The sequence below is a fragment of the Homo sapiens genome, chromosome 9, assembly GCF_000001405.40.
Source record: "Homo sapiens chromosome 9, GRCh38.p14 Primary Assembly".
In the NCBI taxonomy this organism is placed as follows: domain Eukaryota; kingdom Metazoa; phylum Chordata; class Mammalia; order Primates; family Hominidae; genus Homo; species Homo sapiens.
This window is the reverse complement of record NC_000009.12, coordinates 95,736,824-95,762,568: the sequence shown is the minus strand read 5'-3', so window position 1 is coordinate 95,762,568 and position 25,745 is coordinate 95,736,824. Positions and strand designations below refer to the sequence as shown.

Here is a 25,745-nt window from a genome sequence, read left to right as displayed (position 1 = left end):
TGGTGTCTGTGGTCTGGTCTGGTTTTGGTTGCGTTCTGCCACCACATGGCACCAGCCCTCCAATGCCGTGTGTAATGTCAGGGGGCAGAATGGAGTGCTGCTGATGAAAAAATGACAACAAACACACAGGTGCCATGTGCCAGGCCCAGTTCCAACTGCTTTAGGGCCACACCTCCTGAGTCCTCCAACAACCCCACAAGGTAGCTCACTATGACTGGCAACCCGCAATACAGGTGAGGAAGCTCAAGCTTGGAGCAGTAAAGTAACTTGCTCAAAGGCCAGGATGACCAGCTGGCCTCAGTTCACCTGGGTCTTTCTTGGCTTTAGCACCAAAAGTTTCACATCCAGAAAAATCCCTCAGTCCCTGGCAGGCCAGGATGATTGGTGACCCAAGCCAGGTCACCCAGATGATAAGTAGCAGAGCTGGGATCTGAATCCAGTCAGTGAGACTCCAGTATGCACACTCAACTGCTGTGAAAAGCAGCTTTGGAGATAACTGTGATGTGTGTAACCAAGGATGGTAACCAGGAAAAATCAATTGGCCAATTAGTCAAATTCAGGGAGATACTCTGAAATGAATCTTGCATCCATAATGACAAAATAGGGTGAGTCTGTACACCAAAACCACGGGCCCTATAGAGGAAATAACACTGGTATTTCTCTTTGTCTAGAAGTATCCAGGCCGGGCATGATGGCTCATGCCTGTAATCCCAGTGTTTTGGGAGGCCAAGGTGGGCAGATTGCTTGAGCCCAGGAGTTCGAGACCACCCTAGGTGACTTAGGAAGACCCCGTCTCCACAATAAAAAATAAAAAATAAGAATACTAGTCAGGTGTGGTGGCGTTCACCCGTAGTCCCAGCTACTCAAGAGGCTGAGGTAGAAAGATCACTTGGATCTGAGAGGTCAAGGCTGCAGTGAGCTCTGATCGCACCACTGCACTCCAGCTGGGCAGAAGAGTAAGACCCTGTCTCAAAAATAAAATAAAATAATCCAGTTCACTGTCTTAATTTCCCCCTTTGTCACTGGCCACAGAGACCTAGGAATTTAACTTAGGGTCTTGATGCAGGAGATGTCTTTATTTCTAAAACCATGAGTCAGTCACCTCACAGGGGGACATCAGGCAAAGCTGAAACATCCCTTGTTTTCGTTCCCACACTACATCACATGCCTAGCAAAGACTAAAGTAAACTGCTCCTTAAGTATTTCCTTCTGCCAACAGGATTATTTCCCATAACCAATAATGCTGGCTTAGAATAATGAAATAGGGACTCGAAGGTCAGCTTTCAGGCTGAGTTTAAGTCTGTCATTAGAGGGGGAAAAAAACCCACGGAGTTGGATAGTGCCACGTGTCTTTTGCTTAGCACGTATTGAGCTTGTCATAAATATGCAGACACATCCCTCGGCCTTACCTTTATCTTAAATTAAGAATGGCATGCTTGGCCTCTTTCTGACTACGAATGTCTTAGTTAAAAACCAACTCAGAGCTCTTGGGCTGCGAGGCACTCTCTGGCTTGTGTTCACTCAGTTCTGAGTGCTGCCGGGCCTGCTCCTCTGCTGTCAGGGAGCATTCTTGATGTTTAAGACAATAAGCAACCCAGGAGATTAAAGAAGAGCCGTCCTCCGTAGGGCTCAGACAAACTGTAGGACAAGTTTCTGAGGGTTTACTATGCCTGAGAATTAGCTAGGAAGTTTATCTAAAATTCCCTGGTGATTCTGGATCTGCATTTCTTCATCAGTAAAACGCAGGTTTGGCACATAAACCGTAAGGGTTTTCTTGCTCTAGAATTCTCTGTAACGATAGCTCCTTGCCCTATTAGCAGACCATGAACCTCGGCAGATCTTTTATTTATTTATTTATTTATTTATTCATTAGAGTCAGGTAAACATGAAACCTGGAGATTCTGATTCCATAGGTCCAGGGTGGACCCAGGCATCTTCATTTTTTTTTTTTTTTTTGAGACGGAGTCTTGCTGTGTCACCCAGGCTGGAGTGCAGTGGCGCAATCTCAGCTCACTGCAAACTCTGCCTCCTGGTTCAAGCGATTCTCCTGCCTCAGCCTCCCCAGTAGCTGGGATTACAAGTGTGTGCCACCACGCCTGGCTAATTTTTGTTATTTTTAGTAGAGATGGGGTTTCACCATGTTGGCCAGGATAGTCTTGAACTCCTGACCTCGTGATCGACCCTCCTCAGTCTCACAAAGTGCTGGGATTACAGGCGTGAGCCACCGCGCCCGACCTGCATCTTCATTTTTAACAAGCTCCCCAAATGATTCTCATGAGGTTCAAGGCATGTTACCCCCAAATCTGGCACCTTGGCATTTGAGAAAATAGCAGAAGCGGGAAAGCCCTCCTGCCCTGACACAGGTCCTACAACCTAGAAGGTCACTCTCTGACTTTCTCCTGCTCTTCTCTCCTGAAGCCAGTCATAAGACCCTCATTTGAGAGGTTCCCCCTGTACCCAGAGGAGAGGAGTATCCTTATCTCAGAAGATGCAGGGACATAGAGAAGAACCTGAACAAACGCCTTGCAAGTCCCCCCAGGCTAGCACCGCTAGCTCTCCCCTGTCCAATCACACTTCCGCACGCCTGACCACTCTTCATCAAACCTAAGCTTAAAAATATGCAGGTTTCCCACTTTCTTTGGGTCTTCATTTCCACAAACTCTCATGTCAGGTAAAACTTACATGAAGTCAATGTGTATGCTTCTCACTTGTTAAGCTGTCTTTTGTTATAGGTGCCTCAACCATGAACCTAGCAATGAATGAGGAAAGAAATCTTTCTTCCCCTACAATTCTGCTGGGTTTTGCAATCACACTGTGAGAAACTCTACCCTGAGACGTCAAACCGAGGTTTGTCTCACACACGTTTCCTTAAAATTTCCCATATAAGAAAAAATAGAAGCCTAAAATTTAAAGCATTTTCCACATTTTCTCTTGGGTATATGTTTTGTTTAACTCTCTATCCATGGGTGCTTGGGTAGGCAGGAATGTTATCACACCAGTTGTGGATATTAAGTAATTGGCCTTATTTTTTTTTTTTTTTATAGAAAGAATGCTATTGGCTCCAAGGTGCGGTTTGGAAGACGACCGACCTCTATTCCGACCTGGAGGTCAGCTTTGAGGATGCCTCTGCCTGCCATCTTTGGGCGTGTTCACAAGGCACATTTCTTTGAATAGATTTCAGCAGCGACGCATTTTCACTTCTGTGGGGTGGGTGCAAAAGTCATTCAGAGCTGAGTCTGGTGGAGAGGACGGGTGATATGCTGGGAATACTTTTTGCTTTAAAAAGCATTTAAAGTACTTAAATACTTTTTTTTTTTTTTGAGTCAGAGTCTTGCTCTGTCGCCCAGGCTGGAGTGCAGTGGCGCGATCTCGGCTCGCTGCAACCTCCGCCTCCTGGGTTCAAGCGATTCTCCTGCCTTAGCCTCCTGAATAGCTGGGACTACAGGCACCCGCCACCACACCTGGCTAATTTTTGTATTTTTAGTAGAGATGGGGTTTCACTGTGTTAGCCTTGATGGTTTCAATCTCCTGACCTTGTGATCTGCCCACCTCGGCCTTCCAAAGTGCTGGGATTACAAGCATGAGCCACCACGCCCGGGCTTAAATACTTTTAAAGTACCCTTAAAATTAGTACTTTGGGTCTGGGTGTGGTGGCTCATGCTTGTAACTCCAGCACTTTGGGAGGCTAAGGCGAGAGGATCACTTGAGCCCAGGAGTTCGAGACCAGCCTGGGCAACATAGGGAGGCCCCATTTCTCCAAGGGTAAAAAATTAGCTGAGTGTGGTGTCATGTGCCTGTAGCCCCAGCTACTTGGGAGGCTAAGGCAGGAGGATTGCATGAGCCCAGGAGGTTGAGGCTGCAGTGACCTGTGATTGTGCCACTGTACTCCAGCCAGGGTGACAGAGGAAGATCCTGACTCAAAAAGAAAAAAAAAAGAAAAAGAAAAAGGAAAGAAAAAAAGAAAAGAGCACTTTTGTTTATAAGAGTAGGTAAGATTACTAAAATAATTCAAGTTAAATTTGAGATTTTTTGAAAAACGCTGCATCATCATGCTTTTCTAGAGAAAAAACATAACTAAACACCTGTCAACATTTAATCATCACACAGCAAATTATATTCTATAAAAACAGTAGCCTGGGCTGGGCGTGGTGGCTCACACCTGTAACCCCAGCACTTTAGGAGGCCGAGGGGGGCAGATCACCAGGTCAGGAGATTGAGACCATCCTGGCTAACATGGTGAAACCTCGTCTCTACTAAAAATACAAAAAATTAGCCAGGCGTGGTGGCACGCACCTGTAGTCCCAGCTACACAGGAGGCTGAGGCAGGAGAACTGCTTGAACCCAGCAGGCAGAGGTTGCAGTGAGCTGAGATCACACCACTGCACTCCAGCTTGGGTGACATAGCGAGACTCTGTCTCAAAACAAAAACAAAAACAAAAAAACCCAGTAGTCTGGGCAACACAGTGGGACCTCATCTCTACAAAAAATTTAAAAATTAGCCTGGTGTGGTGGCGTTCACCTGTGGTTCCAGCTACTGGGGAGGCTGAGGCGGGAGGATTGCTTGAGCCCGGGAAGTCGACTGGATGACAGAGCGAGACCCTGACTCTAATAAGCAAATAAATTAAAGATCTGCTAAGGTTCATGGATGGCTCATGGGGTGGGGGCTGTTGTTACAGTGAATTCTAGAGCAGGAGAGAACCTTAAGGTTTATGTACCAAACCTTCCATTTTATGGATGAAGAAATACAGATCCAGAAAAATGTAGTAACCTGGCCAAGTTCTCACAGCCAGCTTGTGCCAGCGCTGGAGCTAGAACTCAGGCCTAGCCTGGTTTGTTAAGAGAGAAACCAAGCGCTACGGTTTCATTACCTGTTACTATATGGATGCACGCCTGAGCTAGAAATCAATATGAAGAGAGGGTCAGATATTTCCCTTATGCAAAACTGCTAATTCAGGGACTACAGGCATGTGCCACTGCACCCGGCTCTGTCTCTCTATTTCCTTACAGCTTAACTTAATTTGTTTCAGACATCTGTGGACATATTGACCTTTATGATTGGGCTCATGGGAGAAAAAGATCATTCATACAGAGCCAGCGGTTTCATCAAGCCAACTATTGACCCCTTGTCTAGGGTTTTTCTCTGGTGAACAGAAATTCCTTGGGTAAAAGAGCAAGGTGCATTGACAGAAAATGCTAATTCTCCAGTAAATGAATAGAGATCGTCCCTTTCTCTCCTGTCAATTGGCTGTGGAGGAAGGAACATGTAGTCAAAGGAGAGACATGTCATAATATCCTCTCAGAGCTGCTTTCTCCTCCAATACTACGTCATGTGCCCATGATTCAGAGTAAAGAGGAGAGCAGGAATGGTTGAAGGAAACAGATTATACAATAGAGGATCCCAGCTAAGGACTCCTGGGGAAAGCTGAAAAAAATGCAAGGTCTCTGCCAAAAGGCCCTGTAGGGAAATTCCTTTCAGAACCCAAATTTGGCAAAAACTTCAACGCTGTAAAAATCGCCATAGCTAGGTTTCTGATTGCATTTTCCCCTGAAACTATATGGGATGTAGCTTGGCTCTGGCATGAGTTTAAGAATAGAAGCGGTAAATACTAACTTTAAATTCTGACTTTTAGCTACTTTGAGACCTTGCATAATCTGTGTGTTTTCCTTCCCAAATATGTAAATAATGTTTTTACATGTATAAGGATTAATTTGGCCTGAGAGCTACATCGAAGAGAGGCCCAGAAGTTTTGCTTTCAGAAAATGTGAAAAGTTTTTCCAAACGGTTCTGTTAACAAAAACTTCTAGATAAATACTTCCTAATAAAGACAAGGAGTAAATTTATATTGTCTCTTGTCTTTCAGAAATTCCCTTTGCTTTGCCAAATAAAACACAGTGTAATTTTTTAACTTGATAAAGAATGATGAATTTGATGTCTTGAATTTGCATACTTTTAAGAAAAAGAGGCAAAGATTTTTGTTGTTGTTTTTGTTTTACTTTTTAAAATAGTTGGCTAATAAAATCTGGATATTTGTTTGTAAGAAATTTGGTAGCAGAAAAAAGGATTAATAAAACACACATATCAAAAACCTGACCCAAGACATTGTGTAAGTTCTAGAGAAGCAAAAGTTCAGTATGAAAGAATTCCTGCATTAAAAGGCCAAGAGAGGATGTGAGGGAGAAAGGGAAAGTCATGGCCTTTAGCAACAGCTAGACCTGAATTCAAATCCCAATTCAACCACTTAGAAGCTGTGTGATCTTGGATAAATTTCCTAACTTCTCTGAACCTCAGTTTCTGGACCTGAAAATTGGGCATAACAGCTATCGTAATCCTGCTGTTGCAGGCCTGTGGCTTAACAAGAGCAAGCCTTCGGAAAGTGATAGCTAATGATGTATTTTATGATTGATGCCCGCTCTAATGCTCATCCCATCCTGGGACATTCCTGTTGCCCTTGAAGTGCTAGCAATCTAGTAGGGGCACAGAGAAGCAGAAACACTTTTCAACTCCAGTTCTGCCTTTCCAACTTCTAACTGGGCATTTCTATTGGAATGTTTTGCCCCAAATTCAAGGTGTATGAAACGAAGCCTTCCTTTCATTATTCAGGCCTTGCTAGCTTCTGTGGAAGGTGCTGTGCCTTCCCAGTTGCTCAGGGTTGGGCCTGGTCCTGCTGATTCTCCTCACTGAGTCCCTTGGCTCTTTCTCTAGGATCTCTGCAGTCCCCCAGGACCCCGCTGTGTAGTCCAGCTGCCTCTGAGCTGCCCACCCTTATGCCTGGATCAGCAGCAGTCTCTATCTTGAGCATCTTACCTTTTCACCAGACCCACCTGCCTGGAATCACTGCTTTCCAGTACTTCCTCATAAGACATGACAAGGGAGAGACTGAGCTCCTCACCGAGGACTCAAGCCCCTCACAATCTGATCACAACCTGCCTCCCCAAGGTTAACGTGCACAACTCCTTCCTGTTCCTTTAGGACAGGTAAATGGATTGTCCCTTGGAAAGCCACTGTGAACACCTGCTGCTGAGCACCTGGCCATGCTGTTCACCTGCAGGTTACCATTCAAGGTGGCCTTTCTCAAGTCAAATCTCCTCCTTGAAGCCTTCATGCTCTCTCCAGACCCCCGTCCCTCCCTTGACTAAACCCTGGCACCGTTTATTCCCTGTAGCACTGCTGGCTTTTCCTATGTGGCCTTGACTAGTAGATAATCTTGTCAGAGATAAGGTTTATCTCCGGGGCAAGCATGAATCCCCTGAGGGTGGTTTGTATGCCAAAATTCTGTAGCTTCCAGCAGTGCCTTGAGCCATAAACATCCCTGGTGTCAAATAAGGACGTGGGCAACAGAGAATTTCAGATTCTTGGTGAAGATCACATAACCTAGTAGGAGCGCAGTGAATCTGGAACTGGACTCCTGTAGGCCCCTGCCTGCAGCCAATTCCTACACCCAGACACTGCCTGAAATTAGTGATCCCCGGACCCAGCACTAGACACTCAGAGGCACTAGAAACTGGTTGTACCCAGTTCCAAGCTTTGGCTTCCCTGGGAAGACAAAGGCAGAAATTCCTTCACACTGGGACGCAGGGCCGGACCAGCTGCCCCTGCCCGCTCCGCACTAACCAGGTGAGAGAACCAGTGTGGTGTCACTTTTGTTATTTAAATGTCAAGGTCCTTATCCCCTGTTCCGCACATGATTTTCATTTCCAAATTTCTCCTTTGAGCCTTTTAATCCAATAGCTGCCAACCCAAGGTCATAAGGCAATTCAATCGCCACCACATTGAGTTCCCGACATGCTGCTTCTGCCAGCCCCCGCAATCACAGTTCTGGATCTGCAGTAGCCTCAGGCTGTCAGTTGATGGTTTAAATGTAGCATCCCTATACTCACCTTCTTTTTCACAGGAAAAAACACGTCACATTATAAACTAACAAGTGCAGCACATAAAAGCTCACTTTAAACAGCTCAGAGCCGAACACTCTGTCCATACATTTCCAACAAAACGGAGATTTGAGATTCCAAAGTACATGAAATACTTTAGGGCCTCCTACCTTTAGAATTTTCTTTTGACCCCTAAGCAGAGTTAAGGAGAAAGATCTGATGCCTAGGAAGGCTGAAAATGTCCAAGGCAGCTCTCATTATCTGTGGTCTGGATCAAGACCACAGACACAGCCCTTCAGTAGACACCCCTCCCCACAAACAGCCATTTGGACGTCCTGTAACCTGAAACACATACTGCAAGCAGTTGAGAGCGGGTGCAAATGACAGTCAGCTACACAAATAATTGGCCCCCAAATGTTTATCAGCTCCCTGCCATGGCCACTTCCATTTATAGCTTATAAACAGTTATTAACTGGCTCCTTCCCATCTGATAGCTAGGCCCCAGAACAGGTGGTGAGAGCGGTGGGTGATTCCAGGCCTCCCTGGGAGGTGCTGTGTGTTTGCCTGTGGGTGGTCTTCCTGCCTGAGCCCAGTGCCCACATGAGAAGACATTGCAGAAAGCCTCCAATTTAGGAGATAACAGTCTGTGTTGTCTGTTTGTGTAAAGCACTGTCCAAGTTACAGCTGGCTTTGCTTTCTGGCCAGCAAACATTGCCAAGAAGGGTTGAAAGGTCAGCATAATCAGCCCCCAAACACAATCCCTTCCCCCTTCTGGCCTTTGCAGATGGGCCACAGTGCTCCACGGATTCTTTTGGAGGTTTGATTATAACAAAATGTTGCTCTAGCTGCGGCTTTGCACAAACCCTGCCAGGAGACGGAAGCCAGAGGGATACGCCCAGTGGGAAGGAGGCAGGGTTTCTAGGGCTTTGGTCCTCTGTGATTTTGTTCTGTGCTAAAAACAGCTTTGCAGGTCCCCACAACTTGCTTTTCTCAGAAATAGTTCCCAATGCAATGGACCACAGAGACATCAGACCTTGGTTCCCTTGGCGTTTCTTTAGGAGAGACCGCAGGAGAAAGAGATGTCAGGGCAGTTTCTCCATCTCGCCACTATTGACATTTTGGGCTAGTCTCTCTTGTGGTGGGCTGTACTGTGCGTTTTAGATTTAACATCATCCCGGCCATCACCTACAAGATGCCATTAGCAACCCCCTCTCCAGTTGTGACAGAAATGTCTCCAGATATTGCCTGGGTAGTAAAATCAACCCCAGTTAAGAGCCAGGGTGTTGAGAGTCTATATATACATTAACTAAAAAACAACGTCCTGAAGTATCCGAATAGGACAGTAGAGGTTTGACAACACTAGAACAGTCTAGTAAAGCTACGCAGAATAGACCGGTGGTAAACATTTTTCATCAGCCAATAAAATCCTGATTAATTTATCTCATAGGGTGGGGGGGAAATGGTAATCAATGATCATAAAATTTGAAAAAGATTTTTAAATAATAACTTCACGGTGAAAAATTTTTAAAAGACTATGGTGATGATGCTGTGATTAGCTATAATGCGGCTAGTATTTTTGAGCACTTTCTATGTGAAAGGCACTGTGCTAAAATCTGCATTATTTTCCTTAGTCGCAGCAAATATATAGGAGGTAGGTCCTGATATTATCTCCATTTTACAAATGCAGGGCCTGGGCCTGGCCCAAGACTGTTTCCAAAGCACTCTCCCGAAGGTTCTCTGACTACAAATCATTCCCCACTCCCTGAATCCAAAACTGAGTTGAAAAGATGGTATGTATTTGGATAATTATGGAATGGGTTTTTTAAATCCCAAACTCAAAATAATAATAACGGCTACTATGTAGCCATTGCCTGGGGGCGGCAGGTGCATCCTCCCTTTCAATGCTCGCAGTTGTCCTGGGTGAGGGACTTGCTGGCGGTGGCCCAGCGGCCGAAGCAAGATTTCAGGGCAGGAGCCGCTGCCCCTGCCTCCTCCTGAGCGGAAATTAGCTCCGAGGGTCTCCAGGTGGGACCCAGTCCCGCTCCGCGCTGTTTCTGGCTGCTTCCCTCCTTCTTTCTTCTCCGCCACACCAGAGAGGGGCACGAAGGAGTCACTAGACTTGGCCTGACCCCCCGCGCCTGGCAGTCCCTGCCCCGGGGTGTCTTGCTTGAAGGTCGGGAAGACAGTCCTTGGCAGGGCCTGACCCCCCCACCCGCTGAGGGCCCTCCTTTTGAGGCCTCTATGGCAGCCCCCGCGGGCTGACCTGGCCGCCCCCACTGAGCTCCCTGGGTCGGTCCTGCTGGTCTCCGCCTCGCTGGGCTCCTCCCGGGCAGTCCCCTGCCCCCCCACAGCTCTGCGGGACCTTCTCCCCGGAGGCGCCGCTCTGCCTCCCGGGGCCCCCGCAGGTCGCTCCTGCGCTCCCCTCGCCTGGGTGTGAGGAGGACCCGGCCTGGGGACCTCCTGCGCTGGCGCCACTCTCCCTGCTCGCTCCCAACCCGCGCCGGGAGGCTCCCGTCTGTAAGAGGACGGGACACTGAGAGGGCAGCGGGAGGGGGGGCAGATCGTGCGTGACGTGCCCCACGCATCTGAGAAGGGGGTGATGTCTTTGGCACAGGATGAACAAGTTAGTCGCATTTTTCAATGTTTAATGCGGCCCCTTCCCTGCTACCTGGCTGTGCGAAGGCGCACTGCGCCCTCCCTCCCTCCCTCCCTCCCGGAGCTCAGGCTCCCTCCCTCCCCGCATCCCTCTTCTCCCTCCCTCCTGCAGCTCAGGCCCCATCCCTCCCCTCCCTCCCTCTCGCAGCTCAGGCTCCATCGCTCCCCTCTCTCCCGCAGCTCAGGCTCCCTCCCTCCCTCCCATCCTCCCTCCTGTGGCTCAGGCCCCATCCCTCCCCTCCCTCCCTCCTGCAGCTCAGGCTCCATCCCTCCCCTCCCTCCCTTCCTCCCTCCCTACCTCCCGCAGCTCAGGCTCCATCCCTCCCCTCCTTCCTTCCCTTCCGCAGCTCAGGCTCCATCCCTCTCCTCCCTCCCTCCCTCCCTCATGCAGCTCAGGCTCCATCCCTCCCTCCCATCCTCCCTCTTGCAGCTCAGACTCCATCCCTCCCCTCCCTCCCTCCCTTCCACAGCTCAGGCTCCATCCCTCCCCTCCCTCCCTCCCACAGCTCAGGCCCCATCCCTCCCCTCCCTCCCTCCTGCAGCTCAGGCTCCATCCTTCCCCTCCCTCCCTCCCGCGTTCAGGCTCCATCCCTGCCCTCCCCCTCCATCAGGCAGCTCAGGCTCTGTCCCTGCATCCTCTCTCTCCCACAGCTCAGGCTCTATCCCTCTCCTCCCTCCCCTCCCTCTGCTGCTGAGCATCCCGACTCACAGACACCACTGCAGAGCCCGCACACGCCTTGGTTGTGGACAGAGCACATTTGTACACATTGGTCAGAACTGGTCAGGCTTTTCCACAGCCTGAGGAGGAGAAAGTGCCCATCTGACTGAGGTACTCAAACGTGACCATAGTTACCACCATGAACAACTTTAGAGTCTGTGTTTTCTTCCTTGGACTAAAGACATACAGGTGTTTGAACTACTTTTGGTTGACATGGTCTTAGAGTCTATAACACGTTGGCCAACAAGCCCATGGCACTAGACTCCAGGGCTTCAGGACTGGTCAGCCCCGGATACTGAGGCCCTCCCAAGATTTCCTTCAGGTAGGAACCTTGTGGAGGCCTCTGTGGGCCCCTGCACACCCTAAGGTGAGCAAATTCAGCCTCTTTCATCAGGAAACCACAGTTTCCTCCGCTCCTCTGTGGGTTTTGAAGCCTCACCTCAGAGTTCCAGTAAGAGCAATGGTTTCTAAACCTGGATGTGTAAACAAAGGGCCTTGAATTCAACATAATTTTAAAATGCAAATATAGGCCTTACACATGTCCTTGAGGGTTTAAGGCTAGACTTGGGTTGCGAGGCCTTGGGCACGTCACTTAACTTCTGGACTCTCCCATATCCATCTTCCAAATGGACCCTAATGCCAGCCCACTCACTCAAAAGGCTTTATCCATAACCAAATAATGTCAGCAAAAGAATTTATAATTTTTTTAATCACATAAATAAAATTTTCTTTTCTGACAAAAGGTTCTACACAGGCCCCTCTTTGGTCCTTTCCATCTCTAACTTGCTGTAATTGCTGGATGGAGGGGCCGCGCCATTGCAACTGAGACTCGTGGGAACTCACCATGTTATGTGCATTTGACAGCTGCCTGTGACTACGAAGGATGACAGATTCTCCCAAACAGGGAGAAATGATCAGCCCTAGCAGATAGAGGGTGAGGCTTGGGAGCAGCCCCGCCCAGGGCACAAAATGGTGCATTGTTTGAGAGACATTAAAAGCAACCATGAGGCCAGGCACAGTGGGTCATGCCTGTAATGTCAGCACTTTGGGAGGCCAAGGCGGGAGGAACACTTGATGCCAGGAGTTTGAGACCAAGCTGGGCAACATAAGAAGACCCCATCTCTGCTAAAAATACAAAAATTAGCTGGGTGTGGTGATACACGCCTGTAGTCCCAGCTACTCGGGAGGCTGAGGTGGGAGGATCACTTGAGCCCAGGAATTTGAGGCTGCAGTGAGCCATCATCTTACCAATGCATTCCAGCCTGGGCAATAGAACAAAACCCTATCTCAAAAATATTAATAATTAATTAATTTTTTAAAAAGCAGCCATAAAACCCACTAAAGGGTCTGCTTCTTATTTTCACCTAAACAACACCAGTGATGAACTCTTCCTTCTTGGCCAAAAAACCTTTTCTTGGTCTCGGTTTTAAAAATTGCTGCGATTTTGTCTGAGCTTTAATAATATAGCTGTAGATTTCAAATCAGCACATTTTCATGCTTACCCTTCAATAACATTCTATTCTCCACGAGGTTAATCTGGTTAATCTGGAGCACTCCCACCTCCAACACGTGCGGACTCAGCCAACGGCATCTGTTTCAAGCTGCATTCAGGAGGGCCCAGAACCGAGGTGGTTTCAGAGCAGGTCATTCCACAAGGCCTGCAGGGCTGCACGTGCCTGCATGTAAGCAGCAGGTTTGAAAGAAAGAGTGACAGCACAGTGATCGTAGAGAGGAAAAACTACAACTGCAGGGACTTGAATTCTGTCACTGCAGGTGACCACTTTCAGTTTTTATTTGTGTTTAAAATTTAAAACAGTGAGACAGCGTACAAACTGCGGGGGGTAGTATCTTTTTATTAAGTGTAGATTGTACTTCATTCATGAAATATTTTACTGGATGGGAATCATATCTTTCTGTTGAAATGTATTTTCCTTTTAAAATTTTTGTTTTAGATCTAAACACTAAGGAAATGATGACTACTAATGATTATTACTTGAAAATAATATTATTGTACAGAGGAGAATATTAAAAAAAGATCCAAGCTAGGTGCAGTGGCTCACACCTGTAATCCCAGCATTTTGGTGGCCAAGGCAGGCAGATCGCTTGAGCTCAGGAGTTTGAGACCAGCCTGGGCAACATAGGGAGACTCTATATCTACAAAAAAATTCTTAAAAAAAGATTAGCCAGGAGTGGTGGTGCAAACCTGTAGTCCCAGCTACCTGGGAGGCTGTGGTGGGAGGATGGCTTGAGTCCGGGAGGCAGGGGTTGCAGTGAGCCGAGATTGTGCCACTGCCTTCCAACCTGGTTGACAGAGTGAAACTTCATTTCAGGAAAAAAAAATTGATTCTGCTCTGAAAGTCAAGTACACCACCAATGATGAGAAGATGTTTATTTCTCTCTGTTGCTGTGACTAGTCAAAATTGGAAGAACAGGTAATAGGAAATGGCCAATCTTCTTCAGGTTTCTAATAAGTTTCAACTACAATGGAAAGCTAATTAGCTCGATGGAACACTTGCAGGGTGTTTCTAGTGAGACATGCCGCAGTTTGTGCTCAACTATCGCAGAAGGATGGGAAGGACTCACTCATCCATCCACTCATTCATTCATTTGACAGTTCTTCAGGGGGTGCTTAAAGACACTGTTCTGGGATTTGGGGGCATAAAATCTCTTGCCTTATGGAACTTCCATTCTAATTTGGGGTGTGAGGACTCTGGCAATAAACAGGTAAAACAGACAGTAGGGTCGGAGGTGTTAAGTGCTGTGGAGACCAGCAGAGCAGGGAAGTGGCAAACAGGAGCCCTGGAGGACTCTTCTTGCTAAGCTGAGGGAGGTGAGCAGCGATGGGAAGGTTGGTTATGGAGGAATGCCATTGTCCTGCAGGTGTTAGGAGGACTGGACTGTCTCTAGGTATTAGACCGGCGGATGCAGGCAAAATACAGTCTGTGGGCCAAATCTGGCCCTCAGCCTGATTTTGTGCAGCCTGAACAAAAGAGTGGGTTTTGGAGAGAAAAGTGAGTTTTGGAGTTTGTTTTTTTGAGACAGGGTCTCACTCTGTTGCCCAGGCTGGAGTACAGTGGCACAATCTCCTCCCCGGGTTTAGGTGATCCTCCCACCTTAGCGTCCCCCGAGTAGCTGGGGCTACAGGCGTGCACCACCACACTTGGCTAGTTTTTTTGTATTTTTTGTAGAGATGGGTCTCCCTATGTTGCCCAGGCTGTTCTCGAACTCCTAGATTCAAGCAGTCCACCCACCTCAGCCTCTCAAAGTGCTGGGATTATAGGAGTGAGCCCCCTCACCCAGCCAAAAGTGTTTCTTACATTTTTAAATAGTTGATAAGAAGTCAAAACAGAGTAATACTTTGTGGTACATGAAAACGACGTGAAATTCAAACTTCAATGTCCATTTGCTTATTTATTTTCTGTGGCTGTCTATGTGCTGTGAGGGCAAAGCTGGGTAACTGCAACAGAAACCATAAGGCTAGCAAAGCCTGAAATACATACTATTATGTTGGTGCGAAAATAATTGCACCAACCTGAAATATCTGGCTCTTTACAGAGGAAGTTTACCAACCACTGATTAGACCATAGAGGGATGAGGGTGGGAGCAGGGAGATCAACAGGGGGCTCTTGCAATAGTCCAGGTGAGAGGATCCTGGCTTGGACCAAAGAATAGAAGAGGAGGCCATGAAAAGTGGTTGTATTTTGGATATACAGATGGTTCCCGACTAACGATGGCTTGATTTATGATTTTTTTTAACTTTACAATGGTGCAAAACAGATACACATTCAGTTGAAATCACAGTACACATTTTGAATTCTGATCTTTTCCTGGACTAGCGATATGCAGTATGACACTCGAGACGCTGGGTGCAGCAGTGGGCCTCAGCTCCCAGTCGGCCACGCAACCACGATCACCATCACTTTATAACCAAGTGTTGAATATCTCATGTAATTTACTAAAGCAGAAAAATCATTTCAACTGAAAGATATGACTCCCGTTCAGTAAAATATTTCATGAATGAAGTAAAGTCTACGCTTAATGAAAAGATATTACCCCTCACAGTTTGTACTCTGTCTCGCTATTTTACATTTTAAACCTGACCAAGACTAGAGATCTTCCTGAAGAAGTCCATGCCGGCCAAGCCATGGACAAGTGTGGATGCCCCAGGGCCTGCTACCAGGTATTGTTGAGGCTCATCAGAAGACAGACATGGATGACCCTGTCACAGTAGCATCCCCATCATCCAATTAACTGTAGTTCAATGTGTCCCATATCCTTCAGGCCCTTTGTGATTTCAGCTGTGGATGTCAGGCCCTATACAGCCCTTTTGTTTTCCACCTCCAGTACAGTACTTAACAAATTGCATGAGACAGTCGACACTTTATTGTAAAAAAAAAAAAAAACAATAAAGGCTTTGTGTTAGATGACTCTGCCCAACTGCAGGCTAACCTAAGTGTTCTGAGCATGTTTAAGGCAGGCCAGGCTAAGCTCTGATGTTTGGTAGGTTAGGTATAATACATAATTTTTTGACTTAATGATGTTTTCAATTTATGATGGGATTGCTGGGACATAATCCCATTGTAAATTGGGGAGCATCTGTATTTTGATGGCAGAGACATCAGGATTCACTGATAAGTCCAGTAAAATATGTGAGAGCCAGAAAAGGGTCACGCAGAAGGCCAAGGGTGTAGCTTGTACAGTTGGATGCTGGGGGTTGCTGTTTACTCAGATGGGGGAAGCTCTAGGAGGAGCAGGATTTTTTCGGGGGGGTTGGGGCAGAGGATCAAGAGTTCAGTGAGATCATATCATAGTCCTGTTGTAGTAGTGAGGGTTGGGTATTCTTTTTCCTATTCACCTAATTCAGCTCTGGTAGCTGCCTGGACCTATAATAAATGGCTAGGTATACTCGCTGACATGGAACCTAATGTCAGTGGTATGTTAGACAGACCAAGAGACTCAGACTAACCTAAGGGACATCACATGGGTTGCAATGGACAATGGTGTCAATAAAATTAAAAACAACAACTATTAAGCAACATTGCAGTAGGTTGGGTTCCCCCAGAAGCTGATTTTGAGACACAGGTTCATGTGCAAGAAGCTCATTTGTGAACTAATCTCAGGAACCACTAGCAGGAGAGGGGGTAAGTGAAGACTATGGGGAGAGGGCCGCCTACAGTCAACAGATCGCTGTTCAGGATATGGGGTTCAATCCTGCTGGGGACCTCTAGGAGACCGTACCAAATGTGCCTCTGAGTTGTCCTACCCAAGGTGAGGCTGTTGGGGTATTTATCCTCCAATTCCTCTTTATTATTGGCTGAGGAGATGATAAATGCCTGGCACTTCCACTTCCCAAGTGTGACCTCGGCATGTTTTTGTAGGTAGAGAAAGCTCTCCAGTAAAGTTGCAGGTGCCACTGGTGTCATTGAGAAGGGCAAGTGCCAGGGAGTTCATATTCCCAGTGAGACAGCAAAAGCATCTGATGGAACATGATAATCATGGAAGTGCAGACACCTGCCACCAGCACTCGCTTGTAATGCCCAGAGCCCTGGGGAAAGCTCGACTAATCCCCAGGCCTGTTTCAAACTACAGCCAAGGAGCTTTCTCAAGACCAGAGAAAGTTTTTGAAGGCCCAAGGCATGGTTTCCATATTTGGCCTCATTAAGTCAATTCAAGACCTTTTTATAACCAGAGCGAAAATGTTTTCATGTGATGTATTTCCTAAATTGCTATAAATATTTTTCACGTATGTAGCTTCAATATCGATTTTATTAGAAACAACATGGATTATCTTTTCATTGCTAATGAAAAGAGAAAACATCACTTCATTTACTGAGAACAGTGGCAAAATATTCTAAGATATTGATCAAAAGTTGGGCTGACTACCACTTGTGTTAGCCAGTAATAGAAGCTTCAAAAGGCAGCCCAGGGATAGGCTGAGTTCCATGAAATGAGAAGAGGATTTAGTAGGCAAAAAGTACCTGGATATGTAGATGCAGGTTCCATGGATAGCAAGGCTGACTTTCAGCTTCAACTTACAGGTAACCGAAAGACTGAATAGATCCCATTCCCTGATACTTCCTGATCTCTTTAGAAATGGTTCCAGTCCACCTACAATGAGATATAAGGGAAATAACAGTCAGGCTGTCCACCTAGAGGGGTGAACAAATAAATGCAAACCTCAGAATCACGTTAGTTATTGAGAAACACTCACACTCACACACCAGATGCTCTGAAGGCCAAATAAGTTGCTGTCTACCAAGTTCATGGGCTTAGCGCTAACTACAAGTTGCTTAGGTATTCTGTTAAATCACCTGGATCGTTTAAGGATTTTCATATTTTCGTAACCGTTAAGAGTGTATACAATGTACAGTGATTTAAAGAAAGCAGAACTGGCCAGGCATGGTGGCTCATGCCTGTAATCCCAGCACTTTGGGAGGCCGAGGCGGAAGGATCACCTGAGGTCAGGAGTTGAAGACCAGCCTGGCCAACATGGCAAAACCCCGTCTCTACTAAAAAATACAAAAATTAGCCAGACGTGGTGGCAGGTGCCTGTAATCCCAGCTACTCAGGAGGCTGAGGCACTTGAGTCACTTGAACCTGGGAGGCAGAAGTTACACTGAGCCAAGATCACACCACTGCACTCCAGCCTGGGTGACAGAGACAGACTGCCTCAGAAAAAACAAAAACAACAACAACAAAAAAGAAAATAGAACTCCCAGGTCCATGAAATCATGACGATTGTCACTAAAAATATATCCAATGTATGGAGGCAGGAAGATTTTGTCATCACACATCACAGAGGCCATAAGCCACTGACCTCGTTGCCTCCCTCTTCTGGCAGAGTATGCCTGGCCTTCAAAGGTTGAACACTTATTTTTCAATATTTATTAGCTTTTTAAATTTGTCTTTGAATTGCCCATTTACAGTTTTGCCCGTTTTCCTGTTAAAGCGTTTGTCTTTTTCATATTGATTTGTAAGAGCTGTTTAAATAATTGAGATTGAACATTTATCTGTTGCAACTATTGCAAATATTCCTTTAGTTTTTCATTTCTAAAACTTTATGTGGCATTTTATGACATGTAGAATTGTATACTTTTATGAAGTTATAGCCAAGGTCTTTATGATTTTTTTTCTTGACTTTTATGTGACTAGATGAATATCCACTGATATTTTTCTAATTCATTTAGGTTTTTATTTTAAGTAAAACTCTTCAGACCATCTGGGATGTATTTAGGCAGGGGGAAGGAAATGTAATATTTTTTTTCCCAAATTGTTAACCAGTAGTGTCAGCCATCAATTACTGAATAATCCTTCCTTACTGATTTGTTAACAAGGTGGAGAATTTTATTCCCCAAAATGCTCCATGAGTTTTCTGTTGAAGTGAGAAACAGATTTGCTTCCTAGCGGCTCTCATGTGCTTTTGCCCAGAGGGTGCTAGGGATGCTCGGGAGATGAGGTGGTTCTAGATGCTCTGGCCATCCTAGAGAGGTCTGGCATAGGGGCAAATGGAAACAGAAGTCCTAGGGGACAATTCTGCTGTCCACTGTGGCACAGAGGAGAAAGAAGCAGAGCATTTGAAGGAGAAAGTCAGTGGGGATGCCATGAGAAAGCTGCGTGGGCGAGAGAAAGGAGAGGTAGCTGGTAGCTACTGTGAGTACTGAAGTTTGGGGAACAGAAATATTTCCAAAGAAGATCTTCAGGAAGTTTTCTAAAGATGAATTTCTTTCAGAAAATCTGTAGCAAAATTTCTATCATTCTTGAAAGTGTCTTAAATTGAATGTGTTTTCTTGGAATGAGACTGCAAAAACTGGACTACATGCGACATATATCTGGGTTCACCATATATCACGAGGCCATTTCAAAGACATTTGGAATGCTGCCTCATTTGTTAAGAAACTTTATATATTCTTTACTTAAGATGTATTGCTAAATTCTTAAATATCATAGCTTCTTTCTGAGATTTAGATTATATTATGTTCTTGTACTAGGTCCTACTTACTTAAATGCTCATCCTTTTAACTTTCTCTGTTACCGCCCATAAGGGATCTTCATCTATCACAAATGATACATCTAGATTATAGTAGAATCTAACCCCAGCCAATGAAAAACATAGCTGGAAATCCATACCTTATTTGCCAGGTAAGAGCTGAGGGGAACTCTTTCCTTGATCTGAGTGGAGCACAATCGATGCTGCTGGTCCTAGGAAACTCCTGGCTGCCAGAACCAGTGGGCTGTACAGACAGCATGTCTGGCTGGGGCAGGATGAAGGGCGACGTGAGCAGGGGCAGAATATGCGGAGCAAACACTGCGACCACAGGATGGCTGAGGCAATGCAGATAAGAGGTCTCAGGGATAGCATCCTGGGACTGAAACTTGGGAAGGAAGAGGAAAAAGTTGTATGTTTCTATTACTATCACTACAGAGTATAAGGAATGGCCCTAAGAATGTGATAAACTTAGAAGAAATTCCGATCTTTACTATGATCTGGAGTTATTCCTTTTATTTTTATATTATGTTATTCTTTTATTTGAGGTTCTTTTCTTTTGCACAGGACTTTTATTATGCAATTTTTAAACACATTGAGACTTAAAGTCAGAATTTTTAAATCTGAGTTTAAAAGAAAGTATGATGGTAGTAAATGTGGGGTAAAGCATTTCAATAAAATTCCAACAAGGATTCTTTTGTGCTGATGAATATCAAATGCGCTGTCATTTTTATTGCCCATGTGCTATTTTACTGTATAGATATTCAATGAATGACCGAATCTGTCCTCTGATTATGGGCAGCTTTTTTTTCCCCTTATTGGTTGCTATTGCAAACAAAGCTGGATTGAACACTTTTGTTTATAAGTTGAATCATATCAGTCAACTGCTTTAAAATCCTTATTGGCTCCCTGTTGCCCTCAGGATAATCCATCCTTTTACATCTGGCACACAAAGCTCATTAGAACCCAGCCAGAGTCTGCGTTAGAGGCTCCTCTCCAGCCAGCTCCATTTCCCAGCCCCTCAAGACCCAGCTCTCGTCCCCTTCTTTGTAAAACCTTTCCCATGGTTCCCAGGCCTGGTGACATGTCCTTGCTCTGAGAAATCACAGCACTGCACTCTCACATCGACGAAAACAAGTATCACATCACAGCACAGTTATTTGGGGGATCGCTGTCTCTTGACCTGGACTCAGCATTCTCTGTTTTGCTTGCTATTGAATACCTAGCCCAGTACTTGGCACCTAGCATAGTGCCTCACACAGAAAAATAGTTGCTCAATAAATGTTTGTTGAGAGATATATGATTAAATAACAGAATGGAATTACACAATGGGTAAAATGTTGAATCACTGCTTTTTTTAACTGAAGTTTAAATTCTCTCTTGGGCTTGAAATGATAGGATTTCATGCATCCCTTTAAAAAGTTAGTAGACTATGACCCAGGAATGAACCGAAAAGACTAGGCTTTGCCATCCTCTGGAGAGTTCTCTGGCTGGGAGGTGGAGCCCCAGTGAGAGACCTCGTATAGCTGCTACTAGAGCTTCACAAGGCCATTTCAAAGACTTCCCAGCAGTGGTGTAGCTGGTCTGGGGCTGGAGGATGAGAGAATGTGTGTGAAGGAAGAGGAAAGGACAAAAGTCTTTCTGTGAGACCATCCCAGGTCCACATTTTCAAGAGTTTTCTAGCCAGCAGAACTGGCTGCCCACCTTAAAGCCAGTCACTGCTGGACGGGCCAGGGGGTGGCCCAAGCACTCCCTTTTCTGAGGCCTGGAATCTCAGTGGAGGTAGATATCTGAGGACAGGTGGTGGTGAACAGCCCTTTGGGGGACAAAATTAGAATTGGAAATGATTTTGAGAAATCGGAAACCTGGAGATAGACAAGGACCTGAAGGCCAACAGGGCCCCTGGACACCACCTCATTCAGGCCAAGCCTTCATGGTAAAAACTTAGCTGTGAATTGAGGAGTTTGCCCTTCAATAACCTTTGTTTCAGTGGCTTCACATTTTTTCATGATCCAGAGTAAGAAATACAGTTTACACCACAAGCCAATATACCGCATTCAATAAATAGGCACAAATGAAACAAAGGTCTCAGATTCATCTGAGTCTATGCAGCATAGCCTGATATTTTCAACTCTATTAGATTTCATTGTTTTAAAAATTCTGGTCATGATCTTGCATTGATTTCAGTTTTCACCCTGCTGTGTGAAAACCACTGCCCAAGGATAACTGCAGAAAGAATGGTCTCCCAATTTCATGAGACCTGGGAGAGAAGTGCTCAGCTGTCAAGTGTGAGGTTAGCAGCCAAGGGCACTGCCATGGGTCTCAGCCACTATCAATCTTAAGTAGGCGAGGAAGGCTCGGAGTTCTTGGTTGTTAGGAAAACACCAACCATAACCTGTTAAGTATTAGTTATGTTTGTGGAGAAGGGAGAGAGAGAGGAGAGAGAGAGGAGAGAGAGAGAGAGAGAGGGAGAAAGTAAGGCAGAGAGAGCAAGAGAGACCAAGATTGGGAAGAGGAAAGGCCTTGAAAACGTCTGCGCCTTTGCCCCGGGGCTGTCGTGAGTGGATTGGTGGATGCCTCAGCAGAAAGGCATAAAAGACACAGCAGAATGCCAAAAGAGTCATTCTGAAAGAGAAATCACTCACACGCAGCTTTTTGTTAACCACACAAAATCAGAATTTGTTAGCCTAATTGAATTAATCTGGACATCGAAGCTCATTCTTGGTCCAGAGAACTGATGGGATTATAGGTAAGAGCTAAGCGGACAGACTGAACTTTTTAATAACACAAAGTTCACAAATATTTGTTCTCCCACTCTTGGGAAAGTAGAAGGAAATAAATTAGAGGCACATGCCAGGACCTTCAACCTCCTTGCCTCCCACCAACTTCTAGAACAACTAAACATCAAGGATCCTTAGTGGCTTCCTCTTTGTGTGAACATGCATGAGCGATGGGAAAGAGATATACTTGGGGCCAGTGCATTTTTAACTCCCTGGGAGGTATTTTTTTTTTTTATCTAAACACGCTTTCATTTGGGCCTTCAAAGATGCAATAATGAAGCAACTTTCCCAAGTGCCATATCTTATTCTATCATCAACTTTTTATAGACTTGCATACTACATCAATTAAAACCTTTTTACTCAGGACAAACTCCTCCTTCGGGAATAGATCTATGGTAAAGGCCATGCAGATAAAGAAGGGGCTGAAGTTGCACGGTAGTTGTGGATTTCGGCACTGTCCTTTACCTAACACAGCAGTAATAAATTTTTTTTGGAGGGGGGAGACAGGGTCTCACTCTGTCACCCAGGCTGGAGTGCAGTGGTGCAATCATGGCTCAGTGTAACCTCCACCTCCTGAGCTGAAGTGAGCCTCCCATGTCAGCCTTCTGAGTAGCTGGGACCATAGGTGCACACCACCACACCTGGCTAGTTTTTTTTTTTAACTTTTTATTTTTTGTAAAATTTTGTATAGTCTCCCTGTGTTTCCCAGGCTGGTCTCAAACTCCTGGGCTCAAGTGATCCTCCTGCCTTGGCCTCCCAACGTGCTGGGATTGCAGGTGTGAGCCCACCAGGCCAGGTCAACAGCAACAGAATTTTCTGTGCCTATGGAATATGCCACTCCCAAAGGCAGGTGCGCAACATTTTAAAATAGCCTTTTTTAATTAAATAAAATGTCATTTCTATGTGAAGACCCCATTCTGGCACATGTCCGAAGCTTAACCTTCGTCAGTTCGGGATAAATTCAATGTAGCATTTTCCCACTTCCCATTTCTCTCCAGGATTGCACCTTATGCTTGACTTCTGGCTGTCAATGACCATCTCCCACACTCCTCTGAGATGTGGACATCCTCCTGAACCCCCCACCTCTGCCTGGGCCATCCACACTGCATCCCTGCTGCACACCCTCAGCTAAACAGTGAGTTCTGGGCAGGTCTGTCATCTAGCGTCTATGACTTTTTCAATATCATGGGAATATTCCACCACTCTGCATGGAAGTGGAAATCCTCATGAGATCCCAGGAAAACATGGCAGAAGCTCCAGGAAGCTGTACTCCAGCAGCCTAATTTCCTTCTACTTTTTTTCTTTTTCTTTCTTTCTTTTTTTTTTTTTTTTGAGATGGAGTTTTGCTCTTGTCACCCAGGCTGGAGTGCAATGGTGCGATCTCAGCCCACTGCAACCTCCACCTCCCAGGTTCAAGCGATTCTCCAGCCTCAGCCTCCCGAGTAGCTGGGATTACAGGTGTGTGCCACCACGCCTGGCTAATTTTTGTATTTTTAGTAGAGATGGGGTTTCACCGTGTTAGCCAGGATGGTCTCGATCTCTTGACCTTGTGATCTGCCCGCCTCAGCCTCCCAAAGTGCTGGGATTACAGGCGTGAGCCATCGCACCTGGCCATTTCTTTTTACTTTTAACATATTTTTAATAGCTTAAATGTGATCAATAGGGAAGATGCTACTTCTTGAGCCCGAGTCTGCACTGTCACCTTGGGGCAGCGAGTGGCTCCCGGCCAAGGTGTGTGTGTGTGTTGCTCCTCCTGGGTCACCCTCCCTCCCTTCCTGCTGTGGTCTGGGCCCCCGACTGGCCTCTACACAGGCCTCACTGGGTTTCCTGGCCCTTTGGCTGCAGTTTGGGTTAGCCAGAGAGTGGCACTGGCAGTAGATCAAAGGGCAGGAGGAAGGGTGGTGGAGATGTTGATCTTGCCGGCTCCCTTCCTTCTGAGTCACAGGTGGGCAAAGGCTGCTTTCCTCCCCTGAAAGCCATGTGCGGGCAGGGGCGAGGGGATCATCTCCTGCAGACCCAGCTGCAGCGAGGGCTCCGGCTCTCTCTGGCCTCGAGTGTCCGTTCCCTGCCCTGCCCTTTCAGCCTGGAAATGGTGACAGCTCTCCAAAGCGTGGCCCCAAGACGTGTCGCCATCCCTTGTTGGCTTCCCTTCATCCTGCCCATGGCTGTGTAAATAGCTCCTCCATTCAGCTCACTCCAGTCACCCTGCTTGCAAGTGCCATCTGTTTTCTGCTGGGGCCTGAAGGAAACAGTTAGTTTTACAGATGCTCAATCATCGTAGGGAGGATGCTCCTGCTTCTGGCCATGGAGTAATATTCCTTGGATGTGGAGTGGGTCAGGCTTTGAGGGAACGAGGAGACTGTCCACACCCCGGGGTGTTGCATCGGACATGTGCAGCCCCTTCAAGGAGACTGCCTGTCCTCATCCCCTGATGAAGAGGCAGCCCCGGGGGGCCTGTTTCTTTCCCCAACTGTCTCTGCTCTGCCTCCTACCCTTGGTACCCATGTGCCTTCCTAGGGCTGGCTCAGCCACTCACACCTGAGCCGAGGAGAATATGTTCACAGCTTGGCCCGTAACCTACACCACGCTCAGCTTAAAAAACTGAACTAGGCTGGGCTCGGTGGCTCATGCCTGTAATCCCAGCACTTTGGGAGGCGGAGGCAGGTGGATCATCTGAGGTCAGGAGTTCAAGACCAGCCTGACCAACGTGGAGAAACCCTGTCTCTACTAAAAATACAAAATTAGCCAGATGTGGTGGCCGGTGCCTGTAATTCCAGCTACTCGGGAGGCTGAGGCAGGAGAATCACTGGAACCCAGGAGGCGTAGGTTGTGGTGAGCCAAGATCGCACCACTGCACTCCAGCCTGGGCAACAAGGGGAAACTCCGTCTAAAAAAAAAAAAACAAAAACAAAAAAACAAAAAAAGAAAAAGAACTAGGCCTATCAGTATCTTCCTTCCAAAACCAGAATCAGGAAAAGTAAAAAGAATAAAATGATTTGTGGCTGAGACAAGTGCGCAGGAGGAACAGAGAGTGAGCAGCAGGCAGAATCCAGTCCACGGTGAGGGGGCCGCAGGGGCCCTGGCCATCGAGGCCACGAGGAAAGTGGGAGCCCAGGGAAGCAGAAGCCATGAGCAGAGGATGAGAACAGCGTGGGCAGCTGGAGGCGGCAGACCCCCTGGGGAGAGCAGCTGAGCAGGGGAGTGACAGAGCCCCTGGGGACAGAGCCGTCTGAGGGTTCCAGTGTCCGCCCAGAGGAGGCTGGGGCTGCCCTCCGGACTGCCTGCCAGGAACCTCGTGTTTCCAGGGCAAGAACATCGCAAACTTAGATGTGATGTCTATGCAGAGTGACTTGGGCTAGGCTGAGGGTCATTATTGTGGGCCCTGGCTGAGGTCCCTGAGAACCCCAAATTCCTCTTGCCCTCGAGGCTCTGGATCCTGCCTGAACAGCCAGCCCTGTCCTGGCTTCCTGGGAGGTTGCCGAGCAGGTCGTTAAGAGCAGGTCTCTGGAGCCAGTCTGTCTGGGTTTCTATCCCAGATTCGCCACTTCTTAGCTCTGTGGCCTCTGGGCAAACTTCTAACCTTGCTGTCTGTTTTCTCATCTGTAAAATGAGGATAATAATTGCAGCCCTCTCACAGGGTCACTGTGAGGATTAAATGAGTTAATACATAGAGCCGTGATTGACACACAGTAAGGGCTGCCTAAAATTATTATTATTGCCACTTTAATAACCCACCCTA

The 25,745-nt window shown here is 46.6% G+C and overlaps 3 annotated features.

Annotated features, from left to right (window-relative positions):
• Positions 23,130-23,299: an enhancer, noted in NCBI's record as "experimental_110728 CRE fragment used in MPRA reporter constructs". NCBI's record gives its function as "activates a minimal promoter by MPRAs in K562 erythroleukemia cells, with activity observed for both the introgressed and non-introgressed 9:98501637 variant alleles {active_cell/tissue: K562}" and the evidence as "EXISTENCE:reporter gene assay evidence [ECO:0000049][PMID:34662402]".
• Positions 24,700-25,222: an enhancer, noted in NCBI's record as "H3K4me1 hESC enhancer chr9:98499629-98500151 (GRCh37/hg19 assembly coordinates)". NCBI's record gives its function as "activates a minimal SCP1, AML or CMV promoter by ChIP-STARR-seq in primed H9 embryonic stem cells {active_cell/tissue: H9 hESC(primed)}" and the evidence as "EXISTENCE:reporter gene assay evidence [ECO:0000049][PMID:30033119]".
• Positions 25,223-25,745: an enhancer, noted in NCBI's record as "H3K4me1 hESC enhancer chr9:98499106-98499628 (GRCh37/hg19 assembly coordinates)". NCBI's record gives its function as "activates a minimal SCP1, AML or CMV promoter by ChIP-STARR-seq in primed H9 embryonic stem cells {active_cell/tissue: H9 hESC(primed)}" and the evidence as "EXISTENCE:reporter gene assay evidence [ECO:0000049][PMID:30033119]".